The 19,353-nt window shown below is 42.7% G+C and overlaps 1 protein-coding gene across 7 annotated transcripts in view, besides 1 other annotated feature; it reads right to left on the reverse strand.

Moving 5' to 3' along the window:
• SMURF1 (SMAD specific E3 ubiquitin protein ligase 1) overlaps positions 1 to 19,353 on the reverse strand; it is a 116,669-nt gene that overhangs the window by 24,204 nt on the left and 73,112 nt on the right. For all 7 annotated transcript variants that reach the window (NM_001199847.2, NM_181349.3, XM_017012457.2 and 4 more), the window contains 6 exons: positions 10,156 to 10,194; positions 8,956 to 9,064; positions 5,775 to 5,908; positions 5,562 to 5,627; positions 3,147 to 3,222; positions 562 to 803 (listed from right to left, as the gene is read on the reverse strand). In NM_001199847.2, the coding sequence (NP_001186776.1) occupies positions 562 to 803; positions 3,147 to 3,222; positions 5,562 to 5,627; positions 5,775 to 5,908; positions 8,956 to 9,064; positions 10,156 to 10,194 (666 nt within the window). The remainder of the gene's footprint in view (positions 1 to 561; positions 804 to 3,146; positions 3,223 to 5,561; positions 5,628 to 5,774; positions 5,909 to 8,955; positions 9,065 to 10,155; positions 10,195 to 19,353) is intronic.
• Positions 3,943 to 4,237: a silencer, noted in NCBI's record as "tiled region #1794; K562 Repressive non-DNase unmatched - State 16:ElonW". NCBI's record gives its function as "represses a minimal TATA promoter and a strong SV40 promoter by Sharpr-MPRA in K562 cells {active_cell/tissue: K562}" and the evidence as "EXISTENCE:reporter gene assay evidence [ECO:0000049][PMID:27701403]".

The following is a 19,353-nucleotide window of genomic DNA, read 5'->3' on the forward strand; positions in this document are numbered from 1 at the left end:
CCTCATCTAGCCTACATGTTACCTTGGTTTGCTTTGGTGTTCGTTTGCCTAAGATTTTCACTTGATTTCTAAACTGGGAGATTTGGAGCAATTGCTGAAAATTCATGATTAGCTAGATTTAGGACCATTGTCTTCCAGTTGTCTTTACACTGCCACAATTATCAAATGGCATAGCCACGCAAACATCCGCACTTATGGCACAGGCTACTCAAAAAGGGTTAAAGGCCAGATGCAGTGGCTCACACCTGTAATCCCAGCACTTGGGCGGCTGAGGCAGGTGGATCACTTGAGCCCAGGAGTTTGAGACCAGCCTGGGCAACATGGCGAGACCCATTCTCTACAAAAAATACAAAAATTAGCCAGGCATGATGGTGTATGCCTATAAGCCCAGCTACTCGCGAGGATCGCTTGAGCTAGGGAGGTCAAGGCTGCCGTGAGCCATGATCATGCCACTGCACTCCAGCATGGGTGACAGCAAGACCTTGTCTCAAAAAAAAAAAAAAAGTCAACTCATGGAAACAGGGCAGATGGCATTGGCCACAGCAGGATACATTCTCTCACCGTAGCCTTCGGGCAGTTCCGGGGACTGGTGGCCGTGTGGTCGGTTCTGGGGCGTCTGTAGTGAACCTCGCACATCAGGGTTTCGAAGCCGCTGTGCCTGAAGTCTTTGATCTTGACTTGGGGACTCCACGAACCTGCAATTCCCTCCTCCAGCAGCAGCACCGGTGCTATCTGTGTAAGGGGCTGGTTCCTCCATGAAGCAGCTGAGCGGCCTCCCAGGCCCGGAGTCTTCATACACCGTTCTGAAAGGGACGAGAGCAGGCAGGCATGGTGTCACCATGGAGGAGTCACAAGACCAGCGCCTTAGGGCTAGTGTCCTAGGGGACACCGTCACATAAATTGATTTGCTTTCCTTTAACAACGTCCAGTGTTCCAAGGGCCTAGTTTTGTAAAATTCACCATGTGCCACTCAAACAGAAAGACAGACTCTTCTAAGAGGAACAGGTGGCCGGAGTGTCCCCAAGGCCAACTGTACAATTTCACCATAGGGTAGACTGAAATGATTAGAAGAAACCAGCCTTAGACTATGAGGAGTTTGTGAAATGAGATCTCATTTTTCTTGATTTAAAATCAAATCCAGGCCAGATGCGGTGGCTCACGCCTGTAATCCCAACTTTGGGACGCCGAAGTGGGCAGATCACTTGAGGTCAGGAGTTCAAGACCAGCCTGGCCAACATGATGAAACCGCATCTCTACTAAAAATACAAAAATTAGCTGGGTGTGGTGGCACACGCCTGTGGTCCCAGCTACTCGGGAGGCTGAGAATTGCTTGAACCCAGGAGGCAGAGGTTGCAGTGAGCCAAGATTGTGCCATTGTACTCCAGCCTGGGTGACAGAGCGAGACTCCATCTTTAAAATAAAATAAAATCATATCCAAATACTCCATTTTCCTTGTTATTTTACTCTATAATGAAACTCCTGGTTACATAAAATGCCAAAATGCCTTTAGATACTTTTTAAACATCAATCTTCACCCCCTGAGCAATTTTGAAGACAATTCACCTTAATAGGCTACTGTCCCTTAGAAGCAAATACTCTTTTAAAATCTTAGATTGAAAAATTTCAAATATGTATAAAAAATGAGAGACCAGTACAATGAACCCCCTGTGTCCACCCCTCCCAGCTAACCATCATCCAATGTCCACTCTTCCAATCCCTCCCCACCAACCCCAACATTTTATGACTTCATCCTTAAATATTTCCATTATCATGACTAAAAAATGTTCATTAATTTTTTAAAAAAATCAAATACCGGTGTTCAGATTTCTCCAATTGTCTCATAAATCAGGATCCAAAGTCCACACCTTGCATGTGTAGCTATGTCTCAAGTTTGTTTGAATATGAATTGTTGACAGGTTCTCCTTCCCTCCTGTCTTTGCTTTTCTTGCAGTCTATTTGTTGAAGACCCTGGGTTGTCTGTCCTACAGAAGGCCCCATTCTGGATGTTTGTTGATTATATTCCCTTGGGGCCGTGAGACACATTCCTGGTTCCCTGTATTTCCAAGAGGTGTGTTAATGTTGGATCATCTCTCTTTTGTGATGTTGTTAGCAATTACTGCTTGTTGGCCAGGTCCATTAATTCATGGGGGACTGCAAAATTGTGACAGTGACCAATGACGGTTCGGCAGTTTGTTGTATTTTTTTAGTGTGTTGAGTTCCTCCCCCCGTCATTATGAACCCAAAGATTTTTAATATATCTGATATGTTCCAAATTCATGGCAGTTATAATTCTTTTCTTTTCTTTGAGCCAGGGTCTTGCTGTGTCGCCCAAGGTGGAGCGCAGTGGTGTGATCAGGGTTCACTGCAACTTCAAACTCCTGGACTCAAAGCAATCCTCCCACCTCAGCTTCCCTAGCAGCTGGGATTATAGGTGCGTGCCACCATGCCCAGCTAATTTGTTATTTTTTATTTTTTGGTAGAGACAAAGTCTCGCTATGTTGCCCTGGCTGGTCTCAAACTCGAGACCAAAGTCTCTGGCCACCTTGGCCTCCCAAAGTGCTGGGATTACAGGCAGTTATAATTCTTATTGATGCTCAAACTCACCCATCTTTGGCCCGTGGGAGCCTCTTTCACTGGATTTTGAGTCAGGCACAACCCCAGTTGTTTGTTTGTTTGTTTTTGAGACAGAGTCTTGCTCTGTCACCCAGGCTGGAGTGCAGTGGCATGATCTTGGCTCACTGCAACCCCCTCCTCCCGGGTTCAAGCAATTCTCCTGCCTCAGTCTCCCCAGTAGCTGGGACTACAGGCGCCCACCACCACGCCTGGCTAATTTTTTGCATATTTAGTAGAGATGGGGTTTCACCGTATTAGCCAGGATGGTCTCAATCTCCTGACCTCGTGATCCACCTGCCTCGGCCTCCCAAACTGCTGGGATTATAAGCGTGAGCCACCACGCCCAGCCAACTCCAGTTGTATTTACAGCTTCCTTTATAGCCAAGTAAACTGGTTCACAGTTTTATCCCAACATCCTTTATGCATCTCAAGCATTCTGCAGAGTGACTTAAGGAGGGAAGGGCGCTTTCCTATAGGCCGAGAGGTTAAGGCAGCAGAGAACTCAGCCCGCCTCTTGCTGTGGTTATACGTACCCTTCATTTTCTAACAGTCCTCTGCAGTCCACCACCGAGCCGCCGGTTCCTATTCTGTCTCGTGTCTGTAAACTGACTAAAAGAGAAAAGAACGACTTGTGTTAAAACCCAGCGGGGTTTACATAATTATAATACAGTGAGTCATTGCTAATTTAGAATTTATGTACAATATCATAAAAAACGAGGCATATGTGTATGCATACACACATATATTCCTATGCTTTCCAATACGAAGCATTTTACTCCAGTAGCTGCATGCTACTTGGAATATTCCTTGTAAATGTGGTGAAGAAAAGGGTGCTATGTTTCTCCTGGTCTCCATAAAAATAACAATGTAATATTCAGTCCCTCTAAGTTATTTTCAAGAAGATTTATTTTTTAAGAAGACTTTTTTTGGGCCAGGCACGGTGGCTCATGCCTGTAATCCCAGCACTTTGGGAGGCCAAGAAGGGAGGATCGCCTGAGCTCAGGAGTTTGAGACCAGCCTGGGCAACATGGCAAAACCCCATCTCTACTAAAAATACAAAAATGAGCCAGGCATGGTGGCACACACTTGTAGTCCCAGCTACTTGGGAGGCTGAGGCAGGAGAATTGCTTGAACCCAGGAGGCGGAGGTTACAGTGAGCTAAGATCGCGCCACTGAACTGCAGCAGGGGTGACAGAGTGAGACTCTGTCTCCAAAAAAAATTAAAAATTAAAAAAAATAATAAAAATAAGAAGTTTTTTTGGGGGGGATTAAGTCTCACTGTGTTGCCCAGGCTGGCCTCAAACTCCTGGGCTTGAGCAATCCTCCCACCTCAGCCTCAGAGTAGCTAGACTACAGGCATGTGCCACTGAGCCCAGTTTTTATTTCTTAAGAACATTCTGACTTAAGTTTAATAAAGACACAGAGAGGCCGGGCACAGTGGCTCACACCTGTAATACCAGCACTCTGGGAGGCTAAGGCGGGCGGATCACCTGAGGCTGGGAGTTCCAGACCAGTCTGGCCAACATGGCAAAACCCCGTCTCCACTACAAATACAAAAAATTACCCAGGCGTGGTGGCAAGCAGCTGTAACTCCAGCTACTCAGGAGGCTGAGGCAGGAGAATCGCTTAAACGCGGGAGGCGGAGGTTGCAGTGAGCTAAGATCATGCCACTGCACTCCAGCCTGGGCGACAGAGCAAGACTCCGTGTCAAAAAAAAAATGAATAAAGACACAGAGAGTACTTTCAGTATCTGCAAAGTCTAAGTGAATCTAAATATTTATTCTCTATCTTTACTATGAACAAGACTTTTATAAAGTTGTTTTCAGTTACTCATTTTTCTCCCTGGCACATCCCGCCACAAAGAAAAAAGAAATTACACGCAGGAAAGCATTCGGTGAGAACTTTTTCATGATGGTAGATTTCAGGGTGTATGTCTGCACTATTCATTTATCTTGGGTCAGGTCTACACAGGACAATACCTAAAAGATTTGGAGTGAGAATCACTCCAGTGTGCTGCAGAGAGACCTTTTTTTTTTTATTCCATGCAGCAGTGCTTCCAAGTCAATATCTGAGTTACCCTAAAACACTAATACAAGTGGGTGGATAATAGGATGAGTTATTTAACAGCTAAATCACTTCCAACAGACTGCCTCTAGCCAACACTTTGTAACATTAGCACACTTTAATTTTTCATTCTAAATAATGCAGTCCCCTGACTGTACAAATCATATTACATGGAATTCTTCACAACTCTATGCTTTTTACATATATGATGGGGCTTCCAGAAGAAACTATTTCCCAACTCCTGTATGTGTGGCCACCATTCTTATTATCTACCCTTGGATAATACGGTCAAAAATGTATTGTCCATAAATGTGATGATTAAAATTACATTTAAAATTCTAACCCTAAATCTTTCTGTACCCGAGTCATTTTTACTCAACTTTAAAAGCCAAGAGAAGGGGGCCGGGCATGGTGGCTCACGCCTGTAAGCCCAGCACTTTGGGAGGCCAAGGCGGGCAGATCACTCGAGGTCAGGAAATCGAGACCAGCCTGGCCAACATGGTGAAACTCCGCCTCTACTAAAAATACAAAAATTAGCCAGGCGTGGTGGCACACACCTGTGGTCCCAAGTACTCGGGAGGCTGAGGCAGGAGAATCGCTGGAACCTGGGAGGCGGAGGTTGAGGTGAGCTGAGATCTCACCACTGCACTCCATCTCAAAAAAAAAAAAACCAAAAAAAAAAAAAAGCCAGGAGAAGGGAATTAGATAAAATAATAAAAACTACACAAGACAAAACTTCCTAGTACTGAAGAGAAGGCCCCGTACGTGGTCTGTCCTCTGAGGCCCGTCAGCATCGTCAGTGCCTGTATGTGAGTTCTCGGCGATGAAGGGTTGAATGTAAGTTCTGGAAAAGCATCTCTTTACACAGACAAGAAAGTTCTTACCCACTATCTGGCCACGAACTGCATCAGTATCTGAGGGGTTTAGTTTGCATAGATCCAAACGCTGGTCTGTAAACAAACAATTCAAAACTTAACCCAAGGAACGTGAACTAGGGAGGAAGGCAGGAATTCAGTATTCAGCGATCAAAACAAAAAACGATGCCTCCTAAGCTTTCTTTGGTTGCATTAAGAGGCAGGAAAGTGTTTGGTTCTTACATCCGGTATCTTTTAATCTGCTGATGGCATTGGAGAGCAGCCGCACACAGCCCAGGAAGCCAGCTCCCTGTTTCTTGTGAATTTTCTTATGGTTCCACACGCTAATGGTTATCGAATCCGTTTTCCCAACATATCTGGAAAGAAAGTGCAAAACTCATTTTTAATTGTGTTTGGTTTTTTTTGTTTTGTTTTTTTTTTTTTTTGAGATAGAATCCTGCTCTGTTGCCCCCAGGCTGGAGTGCAGTTGTGTGATCTCAGCTCACTGCAACTCCCAAGTTCAAGTGATTCTCCTGCCTCAGCCTCCCGAGTAGCTGGGACTACAGGCGTGCATCACCATGCCTGGCTAATTTTTGTATTTTTAGTAGAGATGGGGTTTCGCCATGTGGCCAGGTTGGTCTTGAACTCCTAACCTCAGGTGATCCACCTGCCTTGGCCTCCCAAAGTGCTGGGATTACAGGCATGAGCTACTATGCCCAGCTTTTAATTGTATTTCTGAATTATGATATCTCATTGAGATTTTCTCTTTAAGAAACCTTATAAAATAATGTTGCCTCTGTATTACACATGTAACAGGCATTTAATAAATACGTATCCATTAATTTCAACAAGCTGGGAAGAAGAACTACCTTGCTCCTTATGGAAGGGGCAAATGTAGATAACCACACGATGATAATAATCTTATAACAGACTTACTATATTTTATTTATTTTTATTTATTTTTTTATTTTTTTGAGACGGAATTTTGCTCTTGTCGCCCAGGCCGGAGTGCAATGGCGCAGTGTTAGCTCACTGCAACCTGTCTCCTGGGTTCAAGGAATTCTCCTGCCTCAGCCTCCCCAGCAGCTGAGATTACAGGCACCTGCCACCACACCTGGCTAATTTTTGTATTTTTAGTAGAGACGGGGTTTCACCATGTTGGCCAGGCTGGTCTCAACCTCCTGACCTCAGGTGATCTTCCTGCCTCGGCCTCCCAAAGTGCTTAGATTACAGGTGTGAGCCACTGCACCCAGCAAATTTACTATATTTTAATAGTCGCATAGGACAGTAACATGATTCATAAATTCTCACCAATTAGGTTTGATACAGAATACTGGTTTGCGACAAGGGACTACTTACAAACCTACGGATCTATTCAAAGTACACAAGAGGACACTAAGACATTAAACCTCCATTTACTGTCACTGCAAGTCAACGGAGAGAGGAACTCAACCCACTTACACAGCCTCAGTGTCACTGAAACTGAATCTTAGAATATAATTCTTAAAAATCCCACCCAAATACAGTATAATTTGTATTAACTAAAAGACAATAATCTTTCAGGATTACTTTGATGAAAATATCTTAGTAGGAACATGAAAACATGGGTGCATATAAAATAGTGGTCTTCACAGCCAGGTGCAGTGGCTCACGCCTATAATCCCAGCACTTCAGGAGGCCAAGGTGGATCACCTGAGGTCAGAAGGTCAAGACCAGCCTGGCCAACATGGTGAAACCCATCTCTACTAAAAATATAAAAATTAGCCAGGCATGGTGGCGGGTACCTGTAATCCCAGCTACTCGGGAGGCTGAAGATCGAGAATCGCTTGAACCCAGCAGGAGGAGGTTGCGGTGAGCCAAGATTGCGCCACTGCGCTCCAGCCTGGGCAACAGAGCGAGACTCTGTTTGAAAAAAAAATTTAATTTAATTTAAAAATAAAATAGGCCGGGCGCGGTGGCTCACGCCTGTAATCCCAGCACTTTGGGAGGCCGAGGCGGGCGGATCACGAGGTCAGGAGATCGAGACCATCCCGGCTAAAACGGTGAAACCCCGTCTCTACTAAAACTACAAAAAATAGCCGGGCGTAGTGGCGGGCGCCTGTAGTCCTAGCTACTTGGGAGGCTGAGGCAGGAGAATGGCGTGAACCCGGGAGGCGGAGCTTGCAGTGAGCCGAGATCCCGCCACTGCACTCCAGCCTGGGCGACAGAGCAAGACTCCATCTCAAAAAAAAATAAAATAAAATAAAATAAAATAAAATAAAATAAAATAAAATAAAATAAAATAAAATAAAATAGTGGTCTTCAAAGTACAATCCAGTTTTTGAATGACTATAAGAAATTGATGGCTTTGATCATATAAAACTATATTTTCTCTTGCAGAAAATATATATGTACTAAAAAGCAAAAATTTTCAAAGTCAACAGAAACATACAGTCATAATAATGAATTTTTTAGGCCTGGTACAGTGGCTCACGCCTGTAATCCCAGAACTTTGGGAGGCTGAGGCGGGTGGATCATGAGGTCAGGAGTTCGAGACCAGCCTGGCCAAGATGGTGAAACCCCGTCTCAACTAAAAATACAAAAATTAGTTGGGCATGCTGGCGGATGCCTGTAATTCCAGCTACTTGGGAGGCTGAGGCAGGAGAATCACTTGAATCCAGGAGGTGGAGGTCACAGTGAGCCGAGATCGCGCCACTGCACACTCTAGCCTGGGCGACAAAGCAAGACTCCATCTCAAAAAAAAAAAAAATGCATTTTTTAGGTAGAAACTACAACTAGGTTTAGGGTTTTGCTGAAAAACAGTAGCATGTGGAGTTCACAAACTATGGCCTTTTTTTCTGCTAAAATGGCCAGGAGATTGAAAAGTTTGAGGATCACATGTACAAAACCAAACCATAAAAATCTATGAACATGCCAAATGCAGTCGGGCGCAGTGGCTCACGCCTGTAATCCCAACACTTTGGGAGGCTAAGGTGGGCAGATCACTTGAGGTCAGGAGTTCAAGACCAGCCTGGCCAACATGGTGAAACCCCATCTCTACTAAAAAATACAAAAATTAGCTGGGCATGGTGGCATATGTCCATAATCCCAGCTACTTGGGAGGCTGAGGTAGGAGAATCACTTGTACCCGGGAGGCGGAGGTTGCAGTGAGCTGAGATCACGCCACCGCACTCCAGCCTGGGTGACAGAGTGAGACTCCGTCTCAAAAAAAAAAAAAAAAAAAGAAAAAAGAAAGTAACAAAATGCAAGAACTTCCAAGTACATGAATTCTAAAATTAGGCAATGTAGACATTCATTTGGCCATCCGCTTTTGTTATCAATAAAAAGTCATCCTTTTTTTTTTTTTCTCTTGGATGTTTCTCGTAAAAGGTAGACACCTGCTTTCCTGCCGCTCCGCATGGGGCTTACAGAACATTCAACTCACAGATCATAGTGCTGGTTCCACTTTGGGTCCAATGTGTTTTTCACAGTGTCGGTTGAGTGGCACTGCCCAGACCCATCCACGACAATCTTTGCAAAAGGGTCAGGGAGCCCTAGAGGAGAGAGGAGACCCACACCTAGATGAGACCTCACATCCATCCATGTGACACAGAACACACAATTCGTGTTCTCTAATTTCAGGATAATTTCAATCAGCAAAATAAGTTATGTCTATTGAGCTTTCTAAGAGAGCCTAGTATGCCTCCATACTCAGATTTTTAGAGGGTAGAAAAGAAAGTGACTGAAAAAAAAAAAGGCTTACATTCAAATTTCTATTAAAGTGGGGCTAATTAAGTGGAGGGAAAAGTGTCTGAAAGTAATTGTATTTAGACTTTCTAAAAATTAATAATGCCCCGAAATTTGTTTACTGATCTTTGCCTATCTTATCTATGGAAGCAAGTATTCACCAGGCCTTAATTCGGTAAGTCCCTAAATGCTAGAGAATGAATCAGAGAGGTTTATTAGATCAGACAGGTGGCAAAGTGGACAGTTGTCAGAGATAGAGATGGACACGAGCCACCATGCTGGAGCTTCCTGGCTACCTGGAGAAAGCCTTTGAGCCTAAGTTTCTTCATCTTGAAAGCATGAATAATACCACTTAAGAACTGAAAGATGTCTTGTGAGGATCAGAAAGTGTGTGAAGAATTTAATGCTGCAGGCACTGACCAGATACTGCATGACTTTCTTAAGGAGTGATTCCTTCCTTTAGAAAAGGAGTCTCTTATTTTTGCAATTCCTTTAATTATAGGGTGTTGTAAATGTGATTTAATTTATAAAATCTGATTAACAATTGTATGCAAATCCAGCTGTTTTATACAAAAGTATTTCATTTGTATTAGAGCTGAGAATACATCATCCAGCAGAAAGCAATATTCTAATAGGTAGAGAGGCAGAAAAAATTGGGTGTGACCAGAATAGGAAACGAAAGACAGGTTTTGCGGTATGATTTATAAGTTCTGTATATTTCAGCTAAGGAACTACCCATGTTGTAGTCAACCGGGAAATAAAGCTTGGAGAACCATGGATTTCTATTAAGTAAAGGGCAAAACTTTGAAGAGAATATACCCAATCTTTTTTTAAAGTTTAAAATTTCAGAAATACATGCATAACATTATAAGAGGGAAAAAAATAAGTGTTTACTTACTGAAGAAGTCTTTCTTTGCAAGGTTCTTGGCACATAACACTAAAAACAAAGAAAAATTACTCAGGTTAGCATTAAAGACGAGATTTCCATAATAGCTAATCTATATTTACACCCGAACAAAAAGACTCTAAAAATTAGCTTTGCCGAAGATTTGACTTTCAAATCTAGTATCATATGAAACAAAAAATGGACAACCATCTAAAAAGTGTTTTCTCCTCAAACTGAAGATCAGCTATAACAAATACAAAATGCTTTAAACTAAAAATCTTAAACACATTCAGATGGGTTGATCAATATACTTTTTTTTTTTTTAAGAGATAAGGTCTTGCTCTCTTGCCCAGGCTGGAGTGCAGGGGCATGATCATAGCTCATTGCAGCCTCGAACTCCTGGGTGATTCAAGCAATCCTCTTGCCTCAGCCCTCCCAGTAGCTAGGATTATAGGCACACGCCACCATGCCTGGCTAAATGTTCTTATTTTTGTAGAGATAGGGCCACTGCACCCAGCCTACCGATATTCTCTTATACTGCATATGATCACATAAAAACCAACTCAAATAAAGACCTGAAGTATTTATCCTTACAGGTACCGCTAATGACAGAAGAAGCTATGCAATTTTTTATTCTGATAAGTAATACAATTTTGTAAATGTAAACTTTGATATGTTGGAAAATAGTAAGCAAGGGGAAGGTGGTAAAAAAAAATATGGGGCCATCATCAGGGTAGTGTGAACAAAAAATGATAAAATGCACGTTAAGAACTTAGCACAGGCTGGGCATGGTGGCTCACGCCTGTAATCCCAGTACTTTGGGAGGCTGAGGTGGGCAGATCACCTGAGGTCAGGAGTTCAAGACCAGCCTGGCCAACATGGAGAAACTCCATCTCTACTAAAATACAAAAATTAGCTGTGTGTGGTAGCGCATGCCTCTAATCCCAGCTACTCCAGAAGCTGAGGCAGGAGAATCACTTAAACCCGGGAGGCAGAGGTTGCAGTGAGCCAAGATCTCACCACTGCACTCCAGCCTGGGTGACAGAGCGAGACTCTGTCTCCAAAAAAAAGAACTAAGCACAGTGTTGATGTATAGAAAGAATGCAATTAAGGTTCTTATTATTTTATTAATGAGTAATGAGGTAGTATCAATTACTGTTAAGAGAGTTTGTCACCAGACCTGCTTGCTACACAACGCAAGTGACTGTGTCAGGGAGACACTGAGGTGCTTTTGTCTTTTGTACTGCTTCACAAATTGTCCTCAATTTTAAGAATATTATGTTTTATTAAGCACTTGTATTTTACAAAAATGTGCTCACATAATAGATATTGTTCTGCCAAGTTTCACTTCGTTTTATAAAACTAAGTGAATAATGTCGTAAGTGATAAGCTATAGCTTTATCAAGATATATATATTTATATAGTCAAGATATATATATATATATAAGATTTATTTATATATATATATATATATATATATATATATATATATATATATATATATATATATATATATATAAAAAGAGACAGGGTCTCACTCCGTCACCCCAGGCTGGAGTACAGTGGCACAATCATAGCTCACTGTAGCCTCAAACCCTTGGGCTCTAGGGATCCTCCAGCCTCAGCCTCTCGAGTTGCTGGGACTACAGGCACACACCACCACACCCAACTAACTTCTTTTTTTAAAGAGACAGGCTCTCACTATGTTGCCCAGGCTGGTCCCAAGCTCCTGGCCTCAAGCAATCCTCCCAACTTCGCCCCACAAAGTGCTGGGATTATAGGGATAGGCCACCATGCCCAACCAAGATACGATTTATATACCACACAATTCATCCATTTAAAGTGTGCAATACAGTGGTTTTTAGTATACTCATGGGTGGGACAACTATCATTACAATCAATTTTAGAACATTTTTATCATCCCAAAAAGAAAGGCCATACCCAGTTTAAACTAACAATCTTAAACACATTAAGATGGGTTTATCAATATACTTTTTTTTTTTTTTCAGAGACAGGGTCTTGCTCTGTTGCCCAGGCTGGAGTGCAGTGGCATGATCATAGCTCACTGCAGCCTCGAACTCCTGGGATCAAGCAATCCTCTTGCCTCAACCTCCCTAGTAGCTAGGATTACAGGCACACGCCACCCAGCACACTTTGGGAGGCCGAGGCGGACGGATTACTTGACATCACGAAGTGGTGTTAGATTTTGTCAAATGCTTTTTCTACATGTGTTGAGATGCTGTTTTGGTGTTTGGCCTTTGTCTATTGATACGGTGCGTGACATTAATTGATTTTAAGTTGTTAAACCAACCCTGCATTGTGAGATAAACTCAACTTGGTCACGGTACACAGTCCTTTTAATATGTCGCTATATTCAGTTTGCTAGTATTTTGTTGAGGAATTTCACATCTATATTCATAAGGGATATTGGTTTGTATTTTCCTTTCCTTCATAGGCTATCTAGTTTTGGTATCAGAGTGATACTGGCCTCATAAAATGAGCTGGGAAATATTCCCTCCTCCTCCTCGTCTTTTTGTTTTGTTTTGGAAGAATTTGTATTAATTCTTCTTTAATGTTGGGTAGAGTTCACCAGTGATGGCCTCTAGGCCTGGGCTTTTCATTTTCTTTGTGAGAAGTGTTTTAAATTACTAATCCAATCTCTTTACTTTTTATAGACCTAGTCAGATTTTTCCATTTCTTCTTCAATCAGCCCTGGTAGTTTGTGAATTTCCAGAAGTTTGTTGATCTCCTCACTTTTCATAAGTCTATTCAGATTTTTGCATTTCTTCTTCAGCCTTAGTAGTTTGTGTCTTTGTAGATGTTTGTTGATTTCACCCATGTTATCAAATTGTTGGCATACACTTGTTTGTAATATTCCTTGATAATCAGTATTCCTTGATAATATTTCTGTATAGTCAATAGTAATATTTCTTCTTCAGAGTAATGTAATCTTTATATACTTCCTTTCCACCTCAGTCTTTTTAGTGGATAGATCACTATTAATTACACCTCCTGCTGATGTTTCATTTCTTGTTACTCTAATTACAAAATACATACTTGAAAATATGGAAATGTGTAAAATAGAAAATCCACAGCCCCAAAACCTCATCATTACTGTTTGTCTAGCATTTGCCTGGCTAGTCTCATGTGCTTATTTTTCCCATTAACATTTAGAATCATTTTGAGCAAGTTTTTAAAAAATGACTTCATAAGTAAATGAGGAAAATTTTTACCTATTTACAATAGAGTATCTTGAATGTAGCATATTTATCCCTTTATTAAGTTTTTTGATGCCTTTAAGTGAGTTGGGTTTTTTTTTTTTCTTTTTTGAGACAGAGTCTCTGTCGCCCAGGCTGGAGTGCAGTGGTGCGATCACAGCTCACTGCAGCCTTGAGCTTCCCAGGCTCAGGTGAGCCTCCCACCACAGCCTCCCAAGGAACTGGGACCGCAGATAAACACCAGCACACTTGGATAATTTTTTTGTAGAAACGGGGTCTCAGTATGTTGCCCAGGCGGGTCTGAAACTCCTGGGTTCAAGCAATCCACCAGCCTCGGCCTCCCAAAATGCTGGGATTACAGACGTGAGCTGCTGCATCCAGCTGAGATTTTAAAGTATTTCATAAAAGTCTTGCACATTTCTCTTTGGGTGGATTCTTCGGGTATTTTTTGTTACTATTGTGAATGGAATCCTTCCTTTTGTTGCATTTTCTCATTGTTATTTGGATATAGACGAGCTATTAGTTTTCTCACATTAATTTGAAATCACCCATCTATTTGGGCTCTCTTCACATTGGCCTATAATGTTCTGTTTGCTTCAGTTTTCCTTTTCTTTTCCAAAGCTTGGAATATCTCAACAGCTCTCATATAAAATTCCAAGTGTCCAAAACTGAAGTTCTTCCCAGTCTGACTAGAAACCTAGTCCTCTCCCAGGATCCATCAGTTCAGAGACCTTACCAGCCCCCATCAAAGGCACAAGCGAGGCTGGGCGCGGTGGCTTACGCCTGTAATCCCAGCACTTTGGGAGGCCGAGGTGGGAGGATCACGAGGTCAAGAGATCGAGACCATCCTGGCCAACATGGTGAAACCCCGTCTCTACTAAAAATACAAAAATTAGCTGGGTGTGGAGGTGCGTGCCTGTAGTCGCAGCTACTTGGGAGGTTGAGGCAGGAGAATCGCTTGAACCCAGGAGGCGGAGGTTGCAGTGAACTGAGATCGCGCCACTGTACTCCAGCCTGATGACACAGTGAGATTCCGTCTCAAAAAAAAAAAAAGGCACAAGCGAGAAGACTACATGTTCTCCCTTTTTCCTCTGAATCTCAAATACGTTACCTTCTTAGCATCTCCACCCTTGTCCAAGCTCCCAACACAAGCTCTGATGAACTGACCGTTTCAAGACTTACATCTCATGTCTGTCTTCCTTTTAAAATTCTCCAGTGGCTTCCCCTTGCAGAACTCTAGCCTTATGAGCCTCCGATCCCTCCCAACCTCCCTGTGCAGTCTCAAATATTAGCCACCAATTCTGGGCCCTGGTTTTTGGAGGTGCTGGTGCTAGATTGCTTCTGAATAGAATAATCCTGGTCACATGTCTCACAAATATTAATCTTTGCTCATACAATGTTTGAGTTTAAGGCTCATTCCAGTGGAATTTGGTTATATCATAAAGTGCGGAAAGGTCTCAGCAGTGTTAGCACAAAGAAAATTTTGCTTTGGCCAGACACAATGGCTCATGCCTGTAATCCCAGTACTTTGGGAGACTGAGGCAGGTGGGATCGCTTGAGCTCAGGAGTTCGAGACCAGCCTGGGCAACATGGCAAGATCCCATCTCTACAAAAAATACAAAAATTAGCCAGGCAAGGTGGTAGGCGACTGTAGTCCCAGCTACTTGGAAGGCAGAGATGGGAGGCTCACCTGAGCCTGGGGAGGTCGAGACTGCAGTGAGCTATGACCACACCACTGCACTCCAGCCTGGGTGACACAGTGAGACTCTGTCTCAAAAAGAAAAAAAAAAAAAAAGAAAAGAAGAAATTTGCTTCAATTCCCTGTAAGGATCATTTCAGGTCATTCTGAATGTGGTTAAGTTAATGGTATATGATTTCTCCTACTAAAATAGCTTTGTGATCAGGACATGGAATTTGGTCCACTCTAGAGATATATGGATAAAAGGTAATTCATTAGACAGCATAAAATCTCATTGTATTTGGATTTTTTTTTCTTTTTTTTTTTTTTTGAGACAGAGTCTCGCTCTGTCACCCAGACTGGAGTGCAGTGGCATGATCTCGGCTCACTGCAACCTCCACCTCCTGGGTTCAAGTGATTCTCCTGCCTCAGCTTCCTGAGTAGCTGGGATTACAGGCACACACACCACCATGCCCGGCTAATTTTTTTATTTTTAGTAGAGACGGGGTTTCACCATATTGGTCAGGCTGGTCTTGAACTTTTGACCTCATGGTCCACCCGCCTCGGCCTCCCAAAGTGCTGGGATTACAGGTGTGAGCCACCATGCCCAGGCTTAGATCTAGTATTTTTTAAAAAATACATTTATGTACCAATACAGTGAGGTTCTGGGGATACAGCAATTAACAAAAGACACATTTCCAGAACACTGAGTTTATTTTTCAGTGTGGACCAATGCATGTTTTCTTCAGTTCCAACCCTGAAGCACCCCTCTACCTTAGCCAGATCATGCCTCTTACATGCCATAATTTCCTAATCACATCCCGTAGTTTTCCTAATGTTGGGAATATGGCCAAAGCAAATTACATAATGTTCACGAAGCATTTGAATACATGGAAAGGAAGTGTTTTGCTAACATGAGGTACATTCAGTTAGTAAAACAAGCTTCTTTTACCTGGCAAAAGATAGGGTTACAAAAATAGTACTTGAGGTCGGGCGCAGTGGCTCACGCCTGTAATCCCAGCACTTTGGGAGGCCGAGGCGGGTGGATCACATGAGGCCAGGAGTTCCAGACCAGGCTGGCCAGCATGGTGAAATCCTGTCTCTACTAAAAATACAAAAAATTTAGCCAGGCGTGGTGGCGGGTACCTGTAATCCTAGCTAGTCGGCAGACTGAGCCAGGAAAATTGCTTGAATCTGGGAGGTGGAGGTTGCAGTGAGCCAAGATCACGCCACTGCACTCCAGCCTGGGCGACAGAACGAGACTATCCCCCCCACCAAAAAAATACTACTTGTGGTTTCACCCACTCCAACAATGAACTACAGCAAAAACTTAGTACTTTATTCAATCTTGAGAAAGTTTCTAATTTGTGTCAATACTTCTAATATTTCTCTAGCCTGTGGCTAGAAACTTTCACTGCAATGTTATTCCTCTCTTCTTCTTATATTTCTGTGTCTCCAAGTCCTATCACTATCTTCTTCTGAATGTCTCTTGAATTTGTCTGTTCTGTATTTTTATACCCACTCTCTTCTTCTTGGCATCACCTATGCACAACTGTGCCCTCCCTGATGGAAGCCTCCCTGGTCCACAAGACATTTAGCCACTACATCAATCTTTTTTGTATCTGTAGAGGTAAGATCTCACTCTCTGCCCAGTCTAGAGTGCAGGGGCACAATCATGGCTGACTGCAGCCTCAGACTCTTGGGCTCAAGTGATCCTCCCACCTCGGCCTCCTGAGTAGCTGGGACTATAGGCATGCACCACTATGCTCAGCTAATTTTCCTATTTTTAAAAAATCTCTGTAGAAACAAGGTCTCACTATGTTGCCCAGGCTGCTCCAAACACCTGGCCTCAAGTGATCCTCCTGCCTCAGCCTCCCCAAGTGCTGAGATTACAGGACTAAGCCACTGTGCCTGGCCCAGATCAATCTTTTGAATGCCATTTTCATGTTCTTATGCAAAAACATCAACAACAACAAACAACAACAACAAAAATCTCTAATGACTCTGTATTTTACTGTGAATCCTGAGTTTCTCCCTGGGTATTAAGATTTCCCATTCCCTAACAACACATTTATTCCCCATTATTCCTCATGGTATAGCTTGGATTAGCCCCTTTTACCCACCCCAGCTACCTCCCAGAGTTTATTCTTGCTTCTTAACCCATCAGACAATCCCTCTCTCCTTGCTGGGCCCTAACCTACATTCAGGGTCCAGGCCAGGCATTTTGTCAGTGAAGCCTCACTCAAGCCAGTGTTTCCCAAACGTCAGTCTGTGATGACATTTTCACTAGTGCCAAAACCAAAAAAATAAGGACAATGTAAGCGGGGTTTTCATAAAACGAAACTAATTTTAAGTGGCTGTTCTTTGTTGTGATGTTATGTCTTTCCTGCTTTTTTCATGTTAAAATGTTCTTTCTTTAATGAAAGAGGTAACAAAAAACGGTGACAGAGCAGTGACTTAGCAAAATAAAAACTGGGCAATATTATACTGATCCCCACATGTACATAAATGTTTCGACTGCTCTGGGAATTACAACTCTAACCATCAGTGATCAGCTCCCTCTTTTTAATCCTATTTAAGAATCATATAGTTTAGTATTCAATTACTTCCCATACAGGTGGCTTTGTTCCCCAGCTAAGTTAGGCCCCTCTGAGGGAGGAACCATCCATCCATCCATTCATTCATTCATTTTCTGGGCCAGCGTTTCGCTCTGTCACCCAGGCTAGAATGCAGTGGCACGAACACAGCTCACTGCAGTCTCGAACTCCTGGGCTCCAGTGATGCTCCCACCACAGCCTCCTGAGTACCTGGGACTACAGGGCATGCACCACCACCCCTGACTAATTTTTCAATTTCTTGTAGGGACAAGGTCTTACTATGTTGCCCAGGCTGGTATCAAACTGAGCTTAAGCAATCCTCCCGCCTCAGCCTCCCCAAGTGCTGTGCCACTTCCAAGGCCACTGTACCAGAGCCACTGATCTGTCAATTCTGATACAAATTTAGGATATCTTCAAATTTGCATTGAAGGAAAAAAAGTCACATTTCAGTTATATCAACAGATTCAAATGCCAAAAATGTTAAGCCCATACAGGAGAACTGAACTCCATTCCATTATCTGCAACTGAAACAAACACTTCTTTCCAATCTTGCTCAGTAAGTTTATGCATACACAAGACTCACACATGTTTCCACTATTCAGACACCATTAAATGATCAAATGATTTCTTCCTGCGGGGAAAACTGTCTAAGTTAACAAAACACACTTTAGCACCCACCGGCCATGCCTATTGGCTTTGGAGGTGGGAACAGATCTCTGGTAAAGTGACAGTCCTGAGGTAAGTTTTCAAAACACCTGTTTGCTTAAAATATGGATGTTACAGTTCATCTTCTACAATTGCACTAAATTAAAAATAAATGACAAAATCATGTGAACTATTTGCCATCAGAAGTGTGACAGAATTCAGATCATACCCCAAACGTGGCAGGGTTAGGCAGAGCTGTTGTGGCAAAAACTGTCTCTTCTGTGAGACACAACTGAGCCCCAAGGACGAGGTGGGGATGTGCCACCTGCTGCCTGTCCCCACGGGTTCCCTGCCAGCACCAAACATTAATACTATCTGTGTGATCCTTTCTAGTCCAGAAAGCTCTTCTAGAAACACTATTCTCTTCTTATTCTCATAGGATGAGGGACATGGACACACAGACAGATGGATTTTTTTCCTAATTCATGGGTGAAGGCATCTCTGCTGCACCCCCATCCCACTCTACATTAATGCGGCATCATCATAGCTCTTTGCAGAGCCTGAAATTAAACCCTTTCTTTATTTGCATTCTTCTTAATGCCTAGCTCCACTGAAGCAAGTACTGTGTCTTTTATTCTTAACCACTGTCTCCCCAGAGGCTGAAACAGTGCCTGGCACATGCAGTTGACTTTAAACATATTTGTTAAATGGTATTAGGTAATGACTTTTTTTTTTTTAACTGTGTAGTTAACCCACTAGAATGTAAGCATCAAGAAGGCAGACGCTGCCTTCTCAACCATTACATTCCTAGCACGGAAGCACAGGGCCTGGCAGAAATTAGCGCTTGATCAATGTTTGTTGAAATCAATGGATAACTGCCTGCTTGAATGAATGTATGAAAACAACTGTTTTGCAAGCGCCACAATGTGATGTGTCTGACTCCTATGCCATGTTCACAAGGAGTCGAGAGCCTGGAAGCTTTGCACACTACTGCCTGGAAGATCTGATTCTTTGGAAATAAAATATATATATATATTCTGCAGGTTCAAAGCAGAAGTATTATTATAATGAG

The sequence above is a fragment of the Homo sapiens genome, chromosome 7 (assembly GCF_000001405.40).
Source record: "Homo sapiens chromosome 7, GRCh38.p14 Primary Assembly".
Taxonomy (NCBI): domain Eukaryota; kingdom Metazoa; phylum Chordata; class Mammalia; order Primates; family Hominidae; genus Homo; species Homo sapiens.